General features: G+C 45.0%; 1 protein-coding gene and 1 long non-coding RNA gene across 20 annotated transcripts in view, besides 9 other annotated features; one reads left to right on the top strand and one right to left on the bottom strand.

The window, feature by feature from the left end:
- ATP13A3 (ATPase 13A3) overlaps positions 1-18698 on the bottom strand; it is a 91658-nt gene extending 72960 nt beyond the window's left edge. For 6 of the 19 annotated variants that reach the window (NR_164667.1, XM_047448916.1, NM_001374836.1 and 3 more), the window contains exons 1-2: positions 10930-11366; positions 10158-10199 (exon numbers count right to left, since the gene is read on the bottom strand). The gene's annotated coding sequence lies outside the window, so the exon portion shown is untranslated. The other 13 variants (XM_047448912.1, XM_047448909.1, XM_047448910.1 and 10 more) reach the window with 10 other exon arrangements.
- Positions 10606-10665: a silencer, noted in NCBI's record as "silent region_15022". NCBI's record gives its function as "represses an Ori minimal core promoter by ATAC-STARR-seq in GM12878 lymphoblastoid cells {active_cell/tissue: GM12878}" and the evidence as "EXISTENCE:reporter gene assay evidence [ECO:0000049][PMID:35858748]".
- Positions 10756-10805: a silencer, noted in NCBI's record as "silent region_15023". NCBI's record gives its function as "represses an Ori minimal core promoter by ATAC-STARR-seq in GM12878 lymphoblastoid cells {active_cell/tissue: GM12878}" and the evidence as "EXISTENCE:reporter gene assay evidence [ECO:0000049][PMID:35858748]".
- Positions 10836-11495: a silencer, noted in NCBI's record as "silent region_15024". NCBI's record gives its function as "represses an Ori minimal core promoter by ATAC-STARR-seq in GM12878 lymphoblastoid cells {active_cell/tissue: GM12878}" and the evidence as "EXISTENCE:reporter gene assay evidence [ECO:0000049][PMID:35858748]".
- On the top strand, positions 11504-12909 carry ATP13A3-DT (ATP13A3 divergent transcript). Its single transcript, NR_033929.1, has 2 exons — positions 11504-11536; positions 11820-12909. It is a non-coding gene; the product is annotated as an ATP13A3 divergent transcript (long non-coding RNA).
- Positions 12166-12385: an enhancer, noted in NCBI's record as "active region_21022". NCBI's record gives its function as "activates an Ori minimal core promoter by ATAC-STARR-seq in GM12878 lymphoblastoid cells {active_cell/tissue: GM12878}" and the evidence as "EXISTENCE:reporter gene assay evidence [ECO:0000049][PMID:35858748]".
- Positions 14519-14638: an enhancer, noted in NCBI's record as "active region_21023". NCBI's record gives its function as "activates an Ori minimal core promoter by ATAC-STARR-seq in GM12878 lymphoblastoid cells {active_cell/tissue: GM12878}" and the evidence as "EXISTENCE:reporter gene assay evidence [ECO:0000049][PMID:35858748]".
- Positions 16390-16499: an enhancer, noted in NCBI's record as "active region_21024". NCBI's record gives its function as "activates an Ori minimal core promoter by ATAC-STARR-seq in GM12878 lymphoblastoid cells {active_cell/tissue: GM12878}" and the evidence as "EXISTENCE:reporter gene assay evidence [ECO:0000049][PMID:35858748]".
- Positions 16510-16559: an enhancer, noted in NCBI's record as "active region_21025". NCBI's record gives its function as "activates an Ori minimal core promoter by ATAC-STARR-seq in GM12878 lymphoblastoid cells {active_cell/tissue: GM12878}" and the evidence as "EXISTENCE:reporter gene assay evidence [ECO:0000049][PMID:35858748]".
- Positions 16600-16649: an enhancer, noted in NCBI's record as "active region_21026". NCBI's record gives its function as "activates an Ori minimal core promoter by ATAC-STARR-seq in GM12878 lymphoblastoid cells {active_cell/tissue: GM12878}" and the evidence as "EXISTENCE:reporter gene assay evidence [ECO:0000049][PMID:35858748]".
- Positions 22307-23506: an enhancer, noted in NCBI's record as "CDK7 strongly-dependent group 2 enhancer chr3:194218672-194219871 (GRCh37/hg19 assembly coordinates)". NCBI's record gives its function as "activates an origin of replication core promoter dependent on BRD2, BRD4, P300/CBP, MED14 and CDK7 cofactors, with strong dependence on CDK7, by STARR-seq in HCT116 cells {active_cell/tissue: HCT116}" and the evidence as "EXISTENCE:reporter gene assay evidence [ECO:0000049][PMID:35650434]".

Consider the following 23754-nt stretch of genomic DNA (forward strand, 5'->3'; position numbering starts at 1 on the left):
GCACAACCATCATAAAAATGTTAACTTTCTAACCTCCTATGACTGTCCTGTATGCCACTATCCAGGATTTAAAAAAAACCACATACACACACACACGCACACAGACACACCCCACAATCAATGTATTTAGGCACTATAACAACCACAATAGTGACGCCTGTATGGGAATATTTAGTTTACACAACACTTTGATGGGCATTATCTACTCTTACTTACCAGAATACTGCCTTTCAAAACCAGGAAAAAATCATCTTCACTTAACCAAGATTAGTATTTTTCATTTTCACCAGAAAGTCAAGCATGGGGTGACTTTACATCAAAAAGCCTTACCAACAAATTTAAGGAATGACACGTAGGCAGCACCATCTTTCAAGGAACAAAATTCATTTAAAAACCAATTCTTACTCCACATGTACTTGAAATGCATTTCTCCATAAGGAAAATAGTGTCTAGATTCCTAAGATAGCCCACAAATGCCCATTTTACCTCTTACAACTCTGCTGAGCTGCAGTTCACATTACACTAGCCTGGGTTGCTGGGCAGGTAGCCAGGTTACCAAGCCTCCATTTCCTCTGCCCGCTTCTTAATTTTCCTATTAATATTCCTCAGGCTCTTCTCTTTGTAACAATCTCATCAGGGGTGGCACTACTGGACCATCGCGATGGCAACTACCAATTCACATTTTCAGCACTAATCTCTCATGTGCTTCAGACCCACAGATTCAACTACATGTTTGCAGACAGCTAACACTCAATAGGTTCATTTTCTCTTTCTTCCAAAAAATCTGCCCCACCACCCAGCCACCACCAATTCCCCCTACTCCTTTAATGAGTATGAGTTGCCTAAAAAGCCAAGCCAGGAATTTAGAAGTCACCTTCGAACTCTTCCTATCTCACACCTACATCCAACCGGCCACTCATCTTTTGACTACCCTTCTCAAATCCACCTCACCATGCCTATCTCCATCAGCTTTGCCTTGATTCAGGTCCTGAGCCCTCGTCTCCCTCATTCAAGTCTGTATGCAGCCAGATATGACCATTTCCCTCTCTACATAAAACTTCAGTAGCTTCCCGTTGTCTGTAGTAGCAATTCCCAAACTGGTAAAAGAGTACCTTCAAAGTAAGTTGTTGTTTTTTTTTTTTTTCAAAACAATTAAATTGAACTAGATTAAATAATATTAAGCAGGCCTCTCACTAGCAAAGTTTTGAAGTCTTACAACGCACAACATGATGTATTTCCCTGCCATGAGGAACTGGGGCGGAAGGGAGCCTCAACTGGGTTCCAAGGTCAAAGTCAAAACTGATTGCAAGACATGTAAGATCCTACAGACTCTGGCCCCGCCTAGTTGTCAACACCATCTGCCATTCATCAGTGGTTATCACTCGCCCCTTACAAACCTTACATGTCATTCATTTAGAACACAATCTGTAGTTCTTCAAAGAGCCCTACTGTTCCCTGACTCCACTTCTTTATATAGAATATTCCTTCTGCCAAGAATGCCCTTCTCTTAGTCTGGCTAAAGAGCTCCTACTTGCTCTTCCAGGACCAGCTCAAGCTACTAAGCTTTGATTGTCCCTTCCATCTCCTAGCAGAGGACTGCCCCCACCTTTCTCCCACCTCTGCAGGTATCAGAGCACTTTTCCAACAACGTTGAACTTATAGACTAAAAACCTTAAAGGCTGGGAACCAGGCAAGCATCCAGCAGTGCAGCTGAATAAAGGAGACAGGGCAAGACTGGGTGAAGGAGGGGTGGAATCCCTCTTCTTTTTGTGGGCAAAATTTGACAACAAAGTAATTTTGTCTTTGGCATGCTCCCGCATCTCATCCCTATTCCCCTTTCCCAGCTCTCCCAATATCCTGTGTTCCCAGGTCCCTTAGTGACCTCATGGAACTCTACACAACCTCCACCACAGCACTATGTTCTTCAGATCAACCCTTCCTCTTCCTCTTAATCAGGATCCTTCTGTTCAGAAGTTAACACATAAATTAGTGACAGCTTCTCATAGCTGTTAACCTAAGATGAATCACTAAGAAACAAAATTTTAAAAGAAGTATGGAGAGGATATGGGGAGTGGACACTCTATCGCACAGAAAGACTGGCCCAGAAGCATCTAGGAGTCTCTTCCTGACTGGGCCCCCCAGAAGTGTTTCCACCTCACTTCATCCACTCCTACAGATTAGCTGCAGTGAGTGCTACAGGTAGAGACAGAGCTGGGGCAGACACTACCATCCTACAGATCATCCATTCTTCTTGGGTTGAATACCTCTGTGTCTTTGTTTTAGTTTGAGACCACTTATGGTTAATTCTTCAGCAGACAGAAAGTTCTCACCAACATGTTCACCAATGAACTTAAAACAGTGTCTTCACTCTAGCCAAGCAGTTCCCTGAAATCTAACCCCAAACTACTGCTTGACTAGAAAAAGGTAAATTAAATCAGAAAACCAAGATGTTGTCAAGTATCCTAATTTTTCAGATAAATCTGTAAATATTAAATTAGCATTCTAGCAATAATCATTCTGGTTTATTGCCAATTTGATTTCATAAAAACTCATTTGTTAGAATGGTATTGCCTACCATGTGCCAACTAGTGGTCTAAATGCTGGAGGTTACAAGATTAAATTTCTAACCTTAAGGAACCACATCTAGTAGGCTAGACAAATAAGTAAGCAAACAAATATCAAACAAAATGGTGACCAATGGCACCAGGGAGAAAGAGAGAACCAAGAACAGAAAAGACTTCAAAAAAGAACTATCTCTTGATCTAAGACCAGAAGGATGTAAACTTGATCAAGCAAACAAGCAGTAAGAGGAAAAATGTTAGGGAGAAAATAGAGAGATGAAACCCAAGCAGGGGAACTGCCACATGCAGAGGTACTATAGTGAGAGATCCTAAAAAATGCCAGGAAAACAAGTTATTTAAACTGACTGGTGCACGGGGTGATAGCCTTTGAGGAATAATTACAAATGGAGGTTTAGAAGGATAGGACAGGATCAGATTATAAGGAAGGGTCTTGTTAGACATGATAAACAATACAGATTATCTTGTAGGTGATGGAGATTCTGAACTTTTGTCACCTGAAAGAGATCCTAGGCCAGGCCAAGGAGCCATATTCCTGAAGAATACAACGTGAATGGTATCCTCTGGACTTGTGCAATGCAACAGCACAGTGTTTACCTGCTGGACTGTGTATGTGTAAGAGAGAAGAACTCATTCATCGATGTCTCCCCAGCATCCAGCCCTGTGTTTGGCATGTACAGGAACTAAAACACTATTAAATAGTTAGAAGTACCAACACAGTCCTAAAGGCATAACCAAGAGGCCCTAACCAAGCCCCCTTCCTTGCTACCTATAAAATCACAACTCTTATACACTACAATAACTTATCATTGCCACAACTATTAAGGGAACATGAAGAATAGTGAGTCACTATGGGCCGCACCAGAGATTAGAAAGGATTGGGGCGGGGGGTACTCTTTAAGATGCTTCTGAATCTGACTAAATTAATGAGCTTATTCTATTCTCTTCATCAAACACTGAACAGAAAACCATGGGTTAGCTTAAAATTATTCTTCAACTAACTCTAAGGCAGTGCTGACAATTATGAAAAGTACATTTTCATATCAAAAAGACCCATTAAATATTTCAATTAAGCGTGTGCTAGGTTAGTCTAGTCTTTCAAGTAAGTGCTACAGACAAAATTATGTCATTTGCCTATTGTACTTTACATTTTACTTAGTATACTAATCTACTTATTATAATTAGCATTAAATAGGTTTCTATCTTTTGTGCTTAGGAAAATTAGAAACATAAACATTAAAAAAAGGAGAAACAAGGAAACTACAGATGAAAATTGTAAATGAGCTTAGAAAACTGGTGACTTAAGAAGCTAAGGCATGATCTAGAGATGAATGAAAAATCTTTGGTCTAAAAAAATAAAGTAAAATAAAATAAAATTTAAAAAAAAGAAAAATCTTCGGTCTATAAGGAACCAGTGACTAGGATTCCATGTTTAAAGAAATCTAAAGGTCACAAAATTGAAATATAATTCAAAGTCTTCTTTAAAAAAAAAGTAGAAATATTTGACTAATCAGAATTTTTAAATGAAAATAATGCATATAAAGTCCTATAAAATAAATACAATTACAGATAGTTTTAAATTTTATAAGGTGGTCAGAGACAGAGACATTGGGTAACAGTAACAAGATGGGAGAGAAAACAGACTGCAAACACACCAGAGACACAAAGAGAAAAACTAAAATATACATAAAATGTATATCGGAGATACATGAGGTTAACATCTTGAGCTTTTGAGGATGTTGCTACTAAAGATACAAAATCATAGATTGTTTTGGACATAAAAAGCCTGAATATAACATTATTGCCTGCTGTTCCAGTTAACAAAAAAACAAAGAGCAATCATCAATCACACCCCACACACACATCTGACTTGTTTTGAATATCTTCAATGTTACTAAGTTAACAAATAATAAGTTACCCTTCACTCAGACTCTTATCCTTACAATTCTCTAAGGTACCCTTTATCACCTCTATCTGGCAAATAAAAAAGCTCTCAGAGGTTCAGTGACTTACTTAACCCAGACTACAAGACTGGTATGTGACAGAGCTGTAATTCAAAATCACTATGGCTCTGAAGCCCACATTTTTATCCAATACACCATGCCCTCTCCCAGGACATAAGACTGTTAAGTTTTTAGCCACCATCATGTTTTTACATACTCATGTTTTCTTACTGTGCTATCCCCAGAGTAATACTTAAGTTTAGATACTTTAAATTTCATGGAATCCATTAATAATTTACATCGCTCTTTTAAAACAATGCAGATCTTGCTAGCAGTAAGGAATAAATTTATTCTTTAAAAAAACAAAACAAAAACACTCAAAGTAGTTGAGTATCCCCTCAGAATGACAGACAGTACCAATAATCTCCTAATATTCTCAACTTTATTACCTAGCCTTTTAATTATACTAGATCTTTTTGTGGCATAACCTTACGGAGATAGCAGATGTTCATAAATACCTAAGTTATTTCTCCATTATTCACACTGTGGAGTCACATCATATATGCACTTAATTAAAACCAATTCAACTACTTACACTCTGGGGGGAAGCAACAGAGAAAAATAATTTGAATAATGATGATAGTATGCCTTCCTTTACATCCCTGTCCCAGAGTGAGCATGAAATGAAGACTATAAATCCGCTATGCTCAGTCAATCTAAGACCCATTCACCTGTCAAAACGGTCTCACACAGCTGGTGAGGATTCCAGCTCACCAAAAAAGGGACCTCTCTAAAACTACAGGAAAAACTGGACACTAGAATTGAAAGACAGAATGTCAGTTTCCAACCAGTTTTCAAACTGGTGCCTTTTTAAAAGACTTTTTCCAAGGGTAATTTTGACTACACAGGATTTTTATCTGAGAATTTAGGCCCAAAGGCCCCATGAGCAGTGATTGCACTTTATTCAGCTCTTTAGATCAATCAGAAAAAAATCAGGACCCAAAACACTTGTCTTTTATATCAAAATAAATAACTAAAATATATTTCATCCTATTTCACAAATGGAAAAAAAAAAAAACAGAGCAACAGGGATGCTATGAAGAAACCACCCTTAGACACATATGTGGGAGCAATTCCATGACTCATTTTAAACAAACTAAAAATAGTTTGTTTCAAGAAGTCTGTCAAGCAAGCAAAGGCAACCCTTAAAAGTTGGCTCTCACTGGAAAAAAAAAATGCAAAAGTTTTGAGATGTGCCATTACTACAGAGTACAAAATTAAAGCAAGGGTGAAAGGAACACCCAAGCTAGAGAAAGGATCTGGGGTTAGACCATAAAGGATCCTTTATGCTGTCACTTACTTCACTTTCCTCTTCTCTAAAAAGGCACTAATCTAAATAATCCATGATCTCTCCGCATTATTTTCCAGTCTCACACCTCTTTATTTCAATGTTCAACTCCTTTGTGAAAAAAAAATAAGAAAAACTCACTGAGCTAGAACCATCTTTCACCTTACCACCCAACATCAGTTACAAGTATTTTTACTTCAAACTTGAGAAAGATTCTGTAGACATCAGCAATTTCCAGACCACATAATTAGGAAATTCTACTTTACATACTTAAGTGACTTTTTCTGGAAATTTAATTTCTTATCTAACTAGTCTCTGAGTGTCAATTGATCATTTAAAACCAAGATCCACAGGGAGTAAGTGTAAGAATCAACAAAAAAGACAAAATTCTGATTAACAGATTAATTTTGCGGTCTTGACGTTTACTATTCGAGTTAATGTTTTACCATCTCAGACTCTAGCAAAGGTTCCAATATGACCCTGTGGGTCTAAGATGTTAACAGATATGGTATTGGCATAGTTCCCTCTAGAGAATCATTTTATGGAAACTTTTCAGCAATCACCATCCTCAAACAACCTTCCTCAGTGTCAGACACTTATTTGGACAGTTCTCTCCTTTATTCCGTTTTTCTCCCTTCTTACTGATTACCATAAAGTCATTTTTTAAACTATCATAACAGTGATCATTTTTTCCAATTACCATTTACTCATGTCATCTCATTTTACCTCTATTTTTAACCTGATTAATACAAATTATTTTTGGTTGTTTTAAGACAAAGTCTTGCTTTGTCACTCAGGCTGGTCTCAAACTCCTGGCCTCAAGCCATCCTCCTGCCTTGGCCTCCCAAAGCACTGGGATTTCAAGCATGAGTCACTGTGCATAACCTACTAACACAAATCGTTTTAACTCCTTTTATAATCACTAGTTATCTAGTGATAACTGATTAACTGTGGACCTTCTTCTACCTTACAAATATCTACTTTTCTCCAGATTAATTTGAGCCCAGAACTTTTTCATTTTTTTAAACCTAAATCTTAATTAAAATTATGTGCCAGAAATCTGAGCCTCTCTTACTTCTCTACTCTCAAAATATGATGTTCAACAAAACTCAAACGAGAACCTAACAATTTCCTTGCTTCTTGCATGCTATTTGAACTTAAGTGGTTAATTAGAACATGGTTTTGGCTGGGCAAGGTGGCTCATGTCTGTAATTCCTACACTTTGGGAGGCTGAGGCAGGAGGATCACTTGAGGCCAGGAGTTCTGAGACAAGCCTGGGCAACAAACCGAGATACTCATCTCTACAAAAAAATTTTAAAGGCCGGGCGTGGTGGCTCACGCCTGTAATCCCAGCAGTCTGGAAGGCCGAGGCAGGCGGATCACAAGGTCAGGAGTTCAAGATCAGACTGGTCAACATGGTGAAACCCAGTCTCTACTAAAGATACAAAAAATTAGCCAGGCATGGTGGTGGGCACCTGTAATCCCAGCTACTCGGAAAGCTGAGGCAGGAGAATCGCTTGAACCCAGGAGGCGGAAGTTGCAGTGAGCGGAGATCGCGCCTCTGCACTCCAGCCAGGATGACAGTACAAGACTCCGTCTCAAAAAAAAAAAAAAAATTTTTTTTTAAATTAGCCAGACATGATGGCACACACCCGTTGTCCCAACTACCCTTGTTGCTGAGGCAGGAAGGTCGCCTGAGCCCAGGAACTCAAGGCTGCAGTGAGCCATGATCGTGCCACTACACTCTAGCCTGAGTGAGAGAGCGAGACTCTTTCTCTGGGGGGAAAAAAAAAGAAAAAAGGACGGGGTGCAGTGATAAATGCCTGTAACCCTAACACTTTGGGAGGCCAAGGCAGGCAGACTGCTTCAGTTCAGGAGTTTGAGACCAGCCTGGGCAACACGGTGAAAACCCACCTCTACAAAAAAAAAAAAAACTAGCTGGGTGTGATGGTGCACACCTGTGGTCCCAGCTACTCTGGAAGCTGAGGTGGGAGGACTGCTTGAGCCCAGAAGGTCAAGGCTGCAGTGAGCCATGACAGAGCCACTGCACTCCAGCCTGGGAGACAGAGCAAGACCCTATCTCAAAAAAACTCAACATGGTTTTGACGACTACAGATTTACTCTCTCCATAGGCCAATTAGCTTCATTTTCACAAAAACTATGTTCCAAAACCAAGGCTAAATCCCATCAGCTACCTCTTGGATCCAGATGAGATATGGCATATTCAGAATACATTCAGAGGTAACACCAAGAAGAAATTTAATTTCTAATTTCTTCTGGCTACTCCAGGCACACTGCCTATCGAGCAGCCCTGTTCTGCAAGAAGCAGTATTAAAAAATGTTTTTAAAACTTTAAAAAATAAGAAATGTGATTCTAAGGAGGGAGAGAGAAGGGAGAAAAGGATGAGTACAACATATCTAAGAGTTAAACTGAGCTATATTTGAATGGATGATAAATGGAATAGGAGTTGGCAGCTTATCACCTATCAAAGAAAACAGTCAAAACAGTTCACAGTTGTGTGCTAAAAGAAGGTGATCTAGTGTGTGACACCTATTAAGATGACATATCTGATTTATCACCAGAATCTGAGGTTCAGAGATGTTATGTTGCCTAGTCACATACAACTAACCTTATAAACCCAGAGACAGAAACCTCTGTGTTAAGCACATTAACACAGAGCTAGGTTTCTGTCTGTCTTCAAAGTCGCTTATACTGTAAGCTCCTTAACTTCTTTAATTTTTTTTTTAACAAAGAAGAATATTGTTACCTGAAAGTGTTGAGGATTAGTTGAGACCATATGTAAAGAAAGGAGCACTTTTCCTGGCACATAATGGTTTCTTTCCTTCTTCCATTCCATATATTGAATCAAACTATGCTTGTATAACGTGGTGGTTTTGTAACTACTGTGAATATGAGGTTTTAGAATATGAATATGCTTTATTCCTAAGATAAATAGTAATCTTAGGACATAGGCACTATATCATATTACTATGGATATACAACCTACTCAATGGTCAAACTCAGTGAGAATAAGCAGTGATGGGGACGCCCTATGGAACTTTATCTTTATTCTGTCTTTTTTCTCAGTCTCAGTGATGTTGGAAATAAGAACTTTATACTTGTGAATGACAACAAAGTGGTTTATAATCTCGAAAATCTTGAAGACAGAAATAGGATTTCAAAATGAGCTCGATAATGTGGTTTATCCAAAGCGGATTCTGTGTGTTGTATATTTGGTGACCTAAACTAACTATGTAAGTATCAACCGCCAAGCTCGGTGGCTAGCGCCTGTAATACCAGCACTTTGGGAGGCCTAGGCAGGAAGATCACCTGAAGTCAGTAGTTCACGACCAGCCTGGCCAACGTGGTGAAACCCTGTCTCTACTAAAAATACAAAAAATTAGCTGGGCGTGGTGGCACACACCTGAAATCCCAGCTACTTAGGAGGCTGCGACAGGAGAATCGCTGAAACCCAGGAGGCAGAAGTTACAGTGAGCCGAGTTCACACCACTGCACTCCAGCCTGGGCAACAGAGCAAGATGCCATCTCAAAAAAAAAAAAAAAAATTTAAAGCAACCAAATAGTGTCACTTTTCCTACCCAATCCCCTGACCAAAGCCAGGCATTGTTGTTCTAACAAGGCTCAAAATCTCAATTATTTCACTCTCTGCCTGATCTAATGGTAGGATAATGCAAATCAAAGATACCAGCAAAAGTTATGTTCTACAACAATCATTAATAATAGGTTTACTACTTCGAACAACTTCCAAGCACTGATTTGCCTTAAAGGGGTTGCAAACCAGGATGAGATGCCCACACACATTGATTTTTGGCAACTGTAGTCTATTAAGCAAAGCAACAAACCTCTAGAGAAAATAATGTCACATATATTCCAGTGAAACAAAATTAATACATGTACCTTGGTAAAGAGGCTGAGCTCTAACCAAAGATAGAGCACTGTTCATTACGTACTCACCCTTCAAAGGAATCAAATCGAAACACTTTCATTTTAACAACGATACTTTTTAAAGGCTTTATTTTGCAATAATCTTTCAAGTCCCTGCATTTCTTAGATTCCTTAAATTCTAACTTCCTGCCTCATAGATCTAAAGTAGCCATGACATACCCAGGTATGTTCTACTCATTTAGTTAGAATCGTATAGAGGAACACAAGTCTGTTTCTAGGTGTACGACTCCACACCCATTCATTTTGCACTAATATAACCACTAAATATAGCTCTAAGACACTGATGATTAAAAGCGGCTAATTATGTGAGTGATTCATACCTCCTATGTCCAAACACCAAGATTCAGGGATGTCTGTCAGATCTATGGGAAGAGGAAACAATAAACACCTGTCACAAAGCTTCTTCCACACCGGGAAGCCCCCAGCTGAGTTCCTGCCAATCCCAACCCGATTCCCTCCCCCTTCATCCCTACCCCTCACCTCCCCAAAAAAGCCAGAGGTCATACTTCCACCAGAACCTGACTCTGTGAAGGGAATGGAGAGACAGAAAGGCCATAGCGAGAGTGGCCACGAGAGCACTGCTAGGGCAAAGGGCCCTGGGTTTTTCTAGTCCTCACTGCCACAGAGTCCGAGTGGGAGGCCTCAGGCAAGTCAGAAGTCACTTTTCCTCCACGGGACTCACTCCTTTTATCTGTGAAATGCGGAGATGGCAAGCAGCTCCATACTCCACGGCTGAGGACGAGCTAGGGTCCCGCACAGACTCATCGAGGGCCCTGCCAGCACCCCTACGCCTCTGCCCACAGGACCTCCACCTCCCACAGGACTTTCCGAAAGCTCTGACTACCAACCACCAAGCGCCCGGCCCCCACGCTCGCCCCCGGCAGGCGGCGCGTCCCCCCCAGGCCTTCGCACCCACCGCGTGGGCTCCTGCCCTGGCCTCACCTGCCCCCGACACTCCCCGTCCCCGCGATGCCCAACTCCGGCCCGAGAAGGCTGGCCGCGACCTCGCCCGGTACCCGCCGCCCCGACACCACCATTCGCCTCCTCGACCTCCCCCGGCGCCGCTGCCCACCCGCCCCTCGCCCCGCTCACCGGGGCCGCTCACTGGCCGCCGCCGCGCCGCCTCCTCCGCGGCCTCCCTCGCGGCCGGACCAGCCCCAGGGACCGCGGGGGACCCGGCCGCCGCTGTCGCCGCCGCCGCCTCGCCTCAGCCCAGCCCCATCGCCCTCGGCCGGCGCCGCGCGCTGCGGCTCAGGGTGAGGGAAGGAGGCGCCGCGGCGGGGCCGGGCCGGCCCTGGGACGTCCGCGCTCTCCTCCTCCTCCGCGCCCGCGGCGGCGGCGTGCAGCCGGCAGGGCGAGAACAAGGGAGGGCGGCGGGAGGTGGGCAGGGGAGGGGGGCGGTCTGCACTCCGAAACGGCCCCCCCGCCGCCAGCGACGTAGAGAACCCCCCTCCCCTCCGCGGCGGCGCCCGATCACGCTGCGGGGAGAGCCGGCAGGCAGGCGGGGGAGCGCGCGCGGGCTCAGGACTCCCGCGCCGGATGTGAGGTCACGTGGTGGCTTCATCCCCGCGCGGAGGGCGGAGGGGCGCGGGCGACGTCAGGAGGCGGGGAAGGGGCGGGGAGGGGCGGGGCGATTTATAGGCCCCGCCCACCCATCGCCTTTGCCACCCTCGAACGGGCAAAAGAAAGAAAGAGGCAGGTAAGGGGAGGCGAGGCCGTCCAAAAACGCTGGGTGTCAGCCCGGGGTGGCTAATGGAGGGCGGCTTTTCTGGTGGGATGAAATGGAACGGCAAATCCCACTTCATCCCCTTTGGGCTATGACAACATCATAGTCCAATCTCCCATTTTATGAACAGGGAAACTGAGGCTCAGTGACTAGACAGACGTTGCCCAGAGTCATGGTCATGGAGGAAGCTTGTGCTAGAATGGTGGAGAGGAAACCAGAGCCCAGCTCCTAATGCAAGGCTCTTTCATTCCTTTAGCCACCCTCGCCCCCGCCAAAACAAACAGACAAAAAACTGTCATTCTCATATGACCACGGACTCTGCGCCCCGGCCGCAGGCGGAGGACAGGGAGGAGCGCACACGAGAAAGCTCCCACGCGCCCGCGCCTCGCCTCCGACGGGAAGGCGCCTCTTCCGACCGTCCTGGATGCAAATTAAATACTTCCCTCCGCAGAAGACTTATCTCGGGGTAGGGCCGCAGCCGGATTTCCAAATCGCGGGTTTGATTTTCGCTGCGTCCTCTCCGCGACGCGCGCAGGGAGCGCGCCCGGCCACCTGCAGCCTCTGGCTGCGGCCATCTTTCCGCCTGGGGCCACCTGGCCTGCGCCCTTTGTGCCCGGCCCGCTCCGTGACTGTTCTTCTTGCCGCTACTTACAGAACTCAGCCGCCTTAGCGTCTTAGAGAAGAGGACGGCATGCATGCGGACCCCGTCCACCACACCTGGAGAGCAGGGAGCCCTTAGTCCCTGGACACTTACCAGGGCCGCCACCCCTGGTCCACGCACGTGATGACATCTCACCAGGGGCAGCACACCGCCCGAGTCCGCGACACTGATAACACCTCCTGCGGGCAGGAGGGCGCCACAGCCACCCCTGGTCCCCTAGATTGTGTGAGGCTAGCATTTCTGCCCGCCTCTTGGCGTGGACAGCACGCTGGACCGAGATGGAACCACAGCTTTCTCTTCCCAATCCCTGGCCTCACCGTTTTGTTTCATACCTCACCGTTTGTTTCAAACCTCGTGGTGTTGAAATGATTAAATGAGATTAAGGGGTGTGTGGTAGTGTTGGGCAAACCACAAGAAAACGGTCTGGGTGGGGTCTGGCCCTAAAATCTTCCTCCCCCACCTCCCAGGCTTCCTTGCCTTGCTGCTTCCTCTCAGCCTTTAAACAGGTTGGCCTCTCCAAGTCCTAAAAACAAAATTATCAAGCCAACCTCCTCCTGAAGTGCTCCCTCCAACTAGCTTCCAAGTGTTTCATGCGGACCTCAAACAATGGTCTTCCCTGGCTGCCTCTGCTTCCTCATTTCTCAACACTTGGCATTCTGGCTTCTCCTCCCCAACTCTAACCCTTCACCTTGCTCAGGCAAGAGCAACTCATGACTTTCATTTTGCCAAACCTTGCAGGCATTCCTCAGGCCTTATCTCTCTGGTTCTTTCTGCTACATTTGACACCTTGGGATGACTCTCACCTTCTGGAATCTCTCTACTACCTTGGTTTCAGAAGAGTGAACCCTCTGGATTATCACATGAAGGTAAGTAAAGCCTCTGCCTCCTTGGTAACATCTACTTGTGAATCTGCACCTTAAATTCAGGATTCCACTCTAAGCCAACAACTTTGCTCACTTCACTCATTCTTCTGGGATTGCCTGCATCCTCATGGATGCAGCTCCCAAATTAGCAATTTCCAACCCAGACCCCTTCCACAAAATTTAGAACCAAATATCCAATTGCCTGCCAGGCAGCTCTAGCTAGATATCACAGACACCCCAAACTGGACATTTCCAAAACTGAACTCATTCTCTGCTTTCATAGCTGCCCCTCCCTCAGCTGTTGGCACCACCATCTCCACAGTCATCAGAATTAGAAAGTTGGGAATGAGTGAGTCATTCTTAATTCAGCCCTCTGCCTTACCCAATCACCAAGTCCTATCTATTTCACCTCCTTAATAAGCCTCAAATTCCTATGGTGGGCTGGGCGCAGTGGCTCATGCCTGTAATCCCAGCACTTTGGGAGGCCGAGGCTGGTGGATCACACGAGGTCAGGAGTTCAAGACCAGCCTGACAACATGGTGAAACCTCATCTCTACTAAAAATACAAAATTAGCTGGACGTGGTGGCACATGCCTGTAATCCCAGCTACTTGGGAGGCTGAGGCAGGAGAATCGCTTGAACCTGGGAGATGGAGGTTGCAGTGGGCTGAGATTGCGCCATTGCACTCCACTCTGGCCAAGAAGAGCAAAACTCCATCTAAAAAAAAAAATTCCTACGGTGGTTCCCACTGGCATCCATCCTTTCCAGCCTGAATTGTTAGACAAATTCAGCCTTCAGAGTGAACTACAATGCACTCCATTTAAAATCCTAAGAGTTTCCCTAGGCTTCTGGCTGCAGTGTATACCTCCAAGCTACCCAGCATGAACCTGTCAACGCGTTCGGGCTTTTAAAAGATCACAAAGAGCCCCAGAATTCGAGGTGCAGCCAAAGTAAGGCAACATACAGCCAGTCAAGGGAAAGCTATAGGAAAAAGAGAAAAGCAGTTGGATATTCCAAAAACTTTTCTGTTACAGATGTTTTGAGAATGGTGAAAAAAGGAATTTGGACACTGGCTTTAGAGGAAGTGCTGAGTCACCAGGAAAGGCTTGAGCATGTTTATGGGTTGAGGGAAAAGAAGGTGCAAGAAAAAAGGAGAAACCCAAGATAGGCGAGAGAAAGGGAGTGGAACAGTCTGGAGAAGTCCTGGAAGACTTACTGGTTCTCAAGTCATGATGATTCTGGGTCCAAGCCCACTGCTTCCCCCCTCTGATCCTACTCACTGTAAGCACCAACCCTGATTGCAGCTGCATGGAGGTAACAGTCATACCAGTAAGGTCTGACGTCACTTCTCAGAAAGGCTATTTTGCATCTTCTTCATCCTCAAAACCCCCATCTTTGCATGCCCTTCCCTCTCACTGTCCCCTTACTTCCTATTTCACTAAGAAAACATACACCATCAAGAGGAAAAATCCTCATCTTCCCACCCGCAAATCTGCGCATCATCCTACATCGGCCCCAGGATCTATTTTCCCACTCCAGAGAGGCAAAGCCTCCTCCTAACAGAGCTAGCTCTCCACAAAATGACCACTGTTAGGCCAACTCCAGGGGCTAGGCCTCCCCAAAATATTACTGTTGCCAAATCCGGAGGACACTTTGCAGGCCTTATCTTTCTAGTTCTCTCAGCAGCATGCATCTCCTATCCTTGAGACACTTTGCTGTTAGTTTTGATAACATACTCTATTTTGGAATTCCTCCTCCCTGTTTCTCTTTGTCTACTCCATCTCAGCCTCCGCAGGTGCTTCCTCTGTCCTTCTCTAAATGTTGCTGTTCCCCAAGGCTCAACCCAGGATCCATTCCTGTGTCTACACAAGGTTTGTTGTGTTTTTGTTTGTTTGTTTGTTTTTAATTTGACATCTCTTGACCTTACAAGAGTTGTGGATGGGCTTCAGAAGGATCTATAAGCTCCTTAAACTTGGATGCAAATACTTTTAAAGGAAGAAGTGGAGCTTTTAGCAGCTTCTCAAAGGTGTCTGGGTCCCCCAAAAAAGATAAGAGGACTGATCCACATGCTCTCCCCTGGTGGCCTCATCTACTATGGCTATAGCTGTCATCTGCATGTACATTAATAACTGTAAACTGAGGCTGGGCATGGTGGCTCACGCCTTTAATCCCAGCAATTTGGGAGGCCGAGGCGGGCGGATCACCTGAGGTTGGGAGTTTGAGATCAGCCTGGCCAACATGGTGAAACCCCATCCACTAAACATACATAAATTAGCCAGACGTGGTGGCGTGCGCCTGTAATCCCAGCTACTTGGGAGGCTGAGGCAGGAGAATCACTTGAACCCAGGAGGCAGAGGCTGCAGTGAGCTGAGATGGCACCATTGTACTCCAGCCTGGATGACAGAGCAAGACTCTATCTCAAAAAGAATGTCAACCATATGCCTGCAGCCCAGGCCACTCCTCAGAGTCCCTTGGCCATTCCTCCCTATCATTTTCACATGGGGTTTCACTGGTGCCAGATAAGTTCACTTATCCCAAACTTAACTCTTGCCTTTCTTCCCCAAATCAGCTCCTCTCTCCTGGGCCTCCTGACCTTAGCAAAGACGCTGTCACCCAAACAACTGCTGAAGCCCAAAACCTGGGAGTCATTCTTTACACCTCCCTCTCCTTCACCACCCCATCCAATCCAACACCAAGTCCATTTCAAATCCTTCCCCATTGCTCCATTTCACTGCCACTAGAATAATGCATGCCCCCTCATCTCTCACCTCGCACGCCCCCTCCATCTCTCACCTGGCATGTCCCCTCCACTCTCACCTGGCATGCCCCCTCATCTCTCACCTGGCATGCCTCCTCATCTCTCACCTGGCATGTCCCCTCCATCTCTCACCTGGCATGCCCCCTCCATCTCTGACCTGGCATGTCCCCTCCATCTCTCACCTGGCATGCCCCCTCATCTCTCACCTGGCATGCCTCCTCATCTCTCACCTGGCATGTCCCCTCCATCTCTCACCTGGCATGCCCCCTCCATCTCTGACCTGGCATGTCCCCTCCATCTCTCACCTGGCATGCCCCCTCATCTCTCACCTGGCATGCCCCCTCATCTCTCACCTGGCATGTCCCCTCATCTCTCACCTGGCATGCCTCCTCCATCTCTCACCTGGCATGCCCCCTCATCTCTCACCTGGCACTAGTGCATTCGCTCCCAGTGGGTTCCTCTGCTTTTGCCCTTGCCCACCTCCAGTGCATTATCACACAGCAGCCAGAGTATTAGTTTATGTGACTTCAAGCAGAGCTGCTGATAAAAGCTTTCACTTGCTTCCCACCTCACTTGGAATACTAGATGAACTTCTTGGGTCCACAAAGTCCAGTGCAGGATGTAACCTGCCCACCACTTCCCCCTCCACTGGCACTCCTCTGCTCTCCCCGTCTTCTCACCGCAGACCCCTTCCCCAAGTTACTCCAGCTACACTAGGCCTTCTTTCAATTCCTCAAACGCACCAACCTCTTTCCTGACTCACGGTCTTTGTACAATCTATTCTTTCCCTTCCCTTTTTTTCTTGCCTGACTAACTTATAAGTTCAACTTTGGGCTTAAATGCATATACAGTTGTCCCTCGATATCTACAGGGAATTGGTTTCAGAACCTCTGTGGATACCAAAATCCAAAAATACTCAAGTTTCTTGGATAAAAGGGTATAGTATTTGCATATAACCTATATACATCCTCCTGTGTACTTTTTTTTTTTTTTTTGAGACAGAGTCTCGTTGGGTCACCCAGGAGTACAATGGCATGATCTTGGCTTAGTGCAACCTCCGCCTCCTGGGTTCAAGCAATTCTCCTGCCTCAGCCTCCCAAGTAGCTGGGATTACAGGCATCCGCCACCAGGCCCAGCTAATTTTTTGTATTTTTAGTAGAGACAGGGTTTCACCATGTTGGCCAGGCTGGTCTTGAACTCCTGACCTCAGGTGATCCACCTGCTTCAGCCTCCAAAAGTGCTGGGATTACAGGCATGAGCCACCACAACCCGTGATCTATACTTTAAATCATCTCTAGATTACTTATAATACGATGTAAATTCTATGCAAACATATTTTTATGTATAGTATTTTTATTGTGTTGTTATTGTATTTATCTCAAGGCTGTGGTTGTATGACACTTATGTAAGATTGAAAAAATAATGGTTGTTTATTTTTGTAAATGTGAGAAGGACTTTTGGGATTATGGGAAACAGGCACATAAAATATCCTTCTCACCCGGGCACAGTGGCAGGTGCCTGTAGTCCCAGCTACTTGGGAGGCTGAGGTGGGAGGATTTCTAGGATTGCCTAAGCGCAGGAGTTTGAGTTTATGGTGAGCTATGATTGTGCCACTGCACTCCAGCCTGGGCAACATAGTGAGATCTCAGCTCTTAAAAAAAAAAAAAAAAATCCCCCATCCCCACCCAAACCATCTCTTTGTGCTGCTACTGGTAAAGAATAAGTCAGTTTGGCTTATCACTGTAGACCCAGCACTAGATGAAGCCTGGCATGTGATAGACACTCAAATGTTTGCACCTGATGGATGACTGAATGAATGAATTTACGATCTCAGATATCATCTCTAAATGCCTTCCCTGACTCCCAGGCTAAGAATCCCTCTTTAGCTGAGCGCACGGCTCACCCCTGTAATCCCAACACTTTGGGAGGCCGAGGCAGGTGGATCACTTGAGGTCAGGAGTTCGAGACCAGCCTGGCCAACATAATGAAACCCCGTCTCTACCAAAAATACAAAAATTAGCCAGGTGTGATGTCAGGCACCTATAATCCCAGCTACTCAGGAGGCTGAGGTGGGAGAATCGCATGAACCCGGAGGTGGAGGTTTGCAGTGAGCTGAGATCACGCCACTGCACTCCAGCCTGGCAAGACTCCATCTCAAAAAACAAAACAAAAAGAATCCCTCTTTAGTGCATATTTGTCTCACTGCATTTACAACCTTGAATAAGCACCTATTTAGTGTTTTTGTTTTCCATGAGTCTACCTTATTCATGTTTTTTTCCTAAGGTTCTGAATACTTTCATATGTTATCTCATTTAATCATCACAACGATGCCAACACTAAAAGTAGTAGTGACTATTCTGTTCATTTTCATAGACGAAGAAACTTTACATATATGATCTCATTAACCTTTATAACAATTCTAGGAAGGAGGTACTATTATTTCTGTTTACAGATTGAGGAAAGCTTATTTCTGCTTACAAATTGAGGAAGATTATTTCTGCTTACAAATTGAGGAAAGCTTAAAAATCCCATTTTACAGAATGGAAAAAGAGGTGTTCAATAACTCACCCGAAAGCACAGCCAGGATTCAAACCCAGACACTTTGCTCCAGGGCCAAACTCTTGACCACTATAACCAAATGAAGCCAGAGTGATTCACCAGAATGAGTTCATCTCGCATCAAAACTCTGGATTATCTGTTTAAGCACCCAGACTTCCACCTCCTCATGAGCCAGGACCTTCCTCAGCCACATCTGGATCCTCAGCCCCTCACAGCACACAGCGGTAGTCAGAAAGTATGCTGAGTAAGTGGAGAACAAGTTAACATTGATTTTCACAACCACGATGTCAGACTAGCAATGGAATTGTTTTGATTCTCCTTTTATAGAGAAGAAAAATGAGATTCACAACTTCACAAGAGGGAGTGTCTTATCTAAGAATCTCTGACTGAGTTCAGCCCTTGTTTGTATTCCCTCTGCTGCCTCCACAAAAGGTTAGAGGTCACATGTTTAGATTATGAAGACCTTTTGCCATTAAAAAATGGCAAAACAAGCAAACAAAACAAACACAGCACTCATTGCCTTTCCTAGAAAAACTGTCCATTAAAAGTACTTTGAGGCTGTGCGCAGTGGCTCATGCCTGTAATTCCAGCACTTTGGGAGGCTGAGGCAGGTGGATCACCTGAGGTTGGGAGTTTGAGACCAGCCTGGCCAACATGGCGAAACCCTGTCTCTACTAAACATACAAAAATTAGCCAGGCATGATGGCAGGCGCCTGTAATCCCAGCTACTTGGGAGACCGAGGCAGGAGAACTGCTTGAACCTGGGAGGTGGAGGCTGCAGTGAGCCGAAATCATGCCACTGCACTCCAGCCTGGGCGACAGAGGGAGACTCCATCTCAAAAAAAGAAAAGAAAGTACTTTGATTATGATTATGATGTTTGCCCAACAAGCTCTATCTCTCTTTCTTTTAGTGCCTCCTAAGCCATTCAGTTCCTATTTAGCTTGACCTATGCAGGCCAGTGTGTGTGTGTGTGTGTACTGGAATGGGAACAGAGAGCAGGACTGTTAAGTCAGATGTCTACAAATCACAGTCCATGGCCATCACTGACTTGTTTCTGTCTCTAAACAAAGCATGTAAAAACTGTTTGCCTCTGCCATGAGGCAAAAGCATGCGCTTGGCATTTTTCTGAGGTCATGATGCCCTAGGATGTGGCAGTTCACGTGCCACTGAATATTGTTTACCAACTAGCTATTCAGGACACGGGGTCCCTCCTGGAGGAGTGCTTACTGCTGGCGTCGGGCCAGTGTGCTGATAACCTAGTTCTCTAAGAGATTGAAAACTCTGACTGTGTGGCCCCTGCCAATTTCATGGTGTAAATGCTCCCACCACAGCCAATTTCAAGCTACCAAGAGTTTCCCTACTGCTTCACGAAATTCCTGAAAATTTTTATGGTTACTTATTTATTTTATTGTTTTTGAAATGGAGTTTTGCTCTTGTCGCCTAGGCTGGAGTAAAATGGCACCATCTTGGCTCACTGCAACCTCCGCCTCCCAGGTTCAAGTGATTCTCCTGCCTCAGCCTCCTGAGTAACTGGGATTACAGGTGCCCACCACCACACCCAGCTAATTTTTGTATTTTTAGTAGAGATTGGGGCTTTACCATGTTGGCCAGGCTAGTCTCGAACTCCTGACCTCACAAGATCCACCCACCGTGGCTCCCAAAGTGCTGGGATTACAGGCGTGAGCCACCACGCCTGGCTCAAATTCCTGAAAATTTAATAGCCAGCATTAGTGAGCCAATACACACCAGCCCCAGCACACTGCTGTGTATAATAATTCCATGTATGGGTGGGGAGAGAAGAAATACAAGTAGTCCTTTAAGATTTTGGCTTGGCCAGGTACAATGGCTCATGCCTGTAATCCCAGCACTTTGGGAGGCTGAGTCGGGCAGATTACCTGAGGTCAGGGGTTCGAGACCAGCCTGGCCAATGTGGTGAAACCCCATCTCTACTAAAAATACAAAAAATTAGCTGGGCGTGGGGGTGGGCGCCTGTAATCCCAGCTACTCGGGAGGCTGAGGCAGGAGAATCACTTGAACCCCAGAGGCGGATATTGCAGTGAACCAAGATCACACCACTGCACTCCATCCTGGGCAAGAAAGTGAGACTCCATCTCAAAAAAAAAAAAAAAAAGATTTTGGCTTTAGGGGCCAAGGCCTGACTCCTAGGCTGTCATGGGGAATTTCCCTGTGTTTCGATGTGATGATTTTTCCTCTGATAAGAAAAGTGCAATTGTATTAATATTAGAGATGAGGAAACTGAGTTCAAGTCGTAGCCTTCTTCTAAGTCATGTATTTCTTTATTTGAATCCAAATCGTAATGGGAATAATATATCCACAGCACAGGATGTTTCATTATCTAACACACTCTGCTATAGCACTTACTACCTGGTAGGCACTGTTTAAGTACTTTACAAACTTAACTCGTTTAATCTTTATAACAACACTGTTAAGTACTATCACTAATTTAGAGATGAAAAGACTAAAATACAAGGAAGATAATGAAGTTCTTTAAGGTAACGGAGCTAGAAGGTGAGAAAGCCAGGATTTGAACCTGGCTTCAAAGTCCAAGCTCTTAGGGCCCCACACCAAAGCTAGCTGCCTGTTTTTGTGGTTTTACTGGAACACAGCCATGCCCATTCATTTACATATTGTCTGACTGCTTTTTTGTTACAACAGCAGAGTTGAATCGTTGTGACAGAGACCATAGGGCCCACAAAGCCCAAAATATTTACTATCTGGCCCTTTACAGAAAATGTTTGCTGACCCTGGCTCCGTAGTATCCTGTCTGTTTGGAGTGAGACATTGGTTATTATTTGGAGCCTGATAGTCCCCAGTGTCAAGCTGGTTGCTGGGCCAATAAGACAAGCAAAAAATAGTGTCCAGATTGTAACTATACTCTCACATTTATACCATAACAATTGTGTCAGTGAAATAGCATTCTCAAGCACAAGGCGTCAACTTCAGTAACAAACAATCCCTGCAAATGTGTATTAATAGAAATATGTATCTAGACCGGACATGGTGCTCACTCCTGTAATCCCAGCACTTTGGGAGGCCCAGGCGGGCAGATCACCTGGGGCCAAGAATTCAAGACCAGCCTGGCCAACACAGTGAAACCTCATCTCTACTAAAAATACAAAAATTAGCCGGGCATGGTGGCGGGCACCTGTAATCTCAGCTACTCAGGAGGCTGAAGCTGAGAATCGCTTGAACCCAGGAGGCAGAGGTCGTAGTAAGCCGAGATCACATCACCGCCCTCCAATTTGGGTGACAGAGCAAGACTCCATCTCAAACAAAGAAAAAAGAAATATGTCTTTGACTTCATAGGATCACAACATCTCAAGGTTGAAATTAATTCAGAGATTACTTATCCCAATCTTAACTCCTCTTGGGAATATTGCATCGAGTTTCTAAAGTTAATGCTGTAGATTCCTCTTAATCATTCCTTGAGTCCTGCAAGATGATTCCTCTGTATAGAAATGGGCTTTTTCCCAGCCTGGCCAATGTGGCAAAACCCCGTCTCTACTAAAATACAAAATTGGCCAGGCGTGGTGGCGGATGCCTGTAATCTCAGCTACTTGGGAGCTGAGGCAGGAGAATCGCTTGAACCCGGGAGGCAGAAGTTGCAGTGAGCCGAGATCACGCCACTGCACTCCGCCTGGGGGGACAGAGCGAGACTCCCTCTCAAAAACAGAAAAAAAAAAAAATAAATGGGTTTTTTGCAAAGGCATCTATTTTATGGGGCTGAGGAATCAGGCTCACATTGCCACAGCTGTCATTCTGTCTCCAAGGCAGCTCCTCCATGTGCCTGTTTCAGATGCCAAGAAGAGAAGCTCCTCAAAGCCTGTCATTCACTGGCCTGTATAGTCATTAAAAACTTTCCCTGACCTTTGCAGCTACTTCCTGTGAGCAGCCCAGGGATGGCCAGTCACTTGTGACCTACTTTCAGAGCTGGCAGTTCTGACTTCTAGAACAAACTCGGAACAAGCCCATCTACAGCTGGTTGACTGAGTTTCCTTTGGGCTCCTGGCACCAGAAAGAATTGCTCACTGGAAGGATCATAGGTGGCACTCATGTCTCACTGCCCCACTCAGGTATGTAGATTTTCATTGCCCTATAAACCACAGTCAACATCTCAAGATCTCCAGAAGGATGTTTATGATCTTCTATTTGCTAAAGACAGTTGCTTCCTTACGGTAATTGCTTTAAAAGGTGGGGCACCGTGGCTCACATGGGACCTCGTCTCTAAAAAATAAAAAAATTAGCCATGTGTGGTGGCGTGCATCTGTAGTCCCATCCCAGCTACTCAGGCTGAGGCAGAAGGATCGCTTGAGCCCAGGAGATCAAGGCTACAGTGAGCTGTGATGATGTCACTGCATTCCAGCCCGGGCGACAGAGCAAGACCCTGTCTCTAAAACAACAAAACAAAACAGAACCATTAGCTCTTCTTTTTTGTTTTGTTTTGTTTTGTTTTGTTTTCCTCAGAGCAGAGATGCCTCACTGTGATAGGTAAATTAAGGTGATACTGATTGCCAGCTCCAGTGTGGAAGTCCCGAGGTGAAGGAATTTCTTTCATAAACATTTCAAAAGTGAGTCGATCCAGAATACACCTCCACCATGAGATTACCTGTAATCTAATTCAACCTAGAAGATGGAGTCCAAACAGCTTGAGGTTCTGCAGATTTCACAACAGCAGCCACAAAATGAAAGTGAAGAAGGCTTTGGCCAGGCACGGTGGCTCACGCCTGTAATCCCAGCACTTTGGGAGGCCGAGGCGGGTGGATCATCTGAAGTCGGGAGTGTGAGACTAGCCTGATGCACGTGGAGAAACCCCATCTCTACTAAAAATACAAAAGTAGCCAGGTGTGGTGGCGCATTCCTGTAATCCCAGCTACTCAGGAGGCTGAACCAGGAGAATCGCTTGAACCCAGGAGGCAGAGGTTGCAGTGAGCTGAGATCGCGCCATTGCATTCCAGCCTGGGCAACAAGAACAAAACTCCATCTGAAAAAAAAAAAAGAAAGTGAACAAGGCTTTAAGGTGGAGCACACTAGAAACATCTTGCTATTTCCACGTGTCTCTTTGTCACTACACTCCTTAAATACACTTAAATAGCTCATATTAACAACAGACACAACCAATGTAAAACCTCTTGGGGCTTTATAAGAAGTTTCCTAAAGTTAATGCTGTAGATTCCTCATGATCATTTCAAAACTAATGTGATTTCTTTAGGGTACCTTTAATTACACTTATGACCTTGGTTTCATTTTAAAAATATACATACATTTAAAGAAGACTGAGGACCCTAAGGATCTCAAATATCCCTTCGACGGGTACCTAATAGCTGTTTT

This window comes from Homo sapiens, chromosome 3 (genome assembly GCF_000001405.40).
Source record: "Homo sapiens chromosome 3, GRCh38.p14 Primary Assembly".
Lineage (NCBI taxonomy): Eukaryota > Metazoa > Chordata > Mammalia > Primates > Hominidae > Homo > Homo sapiens.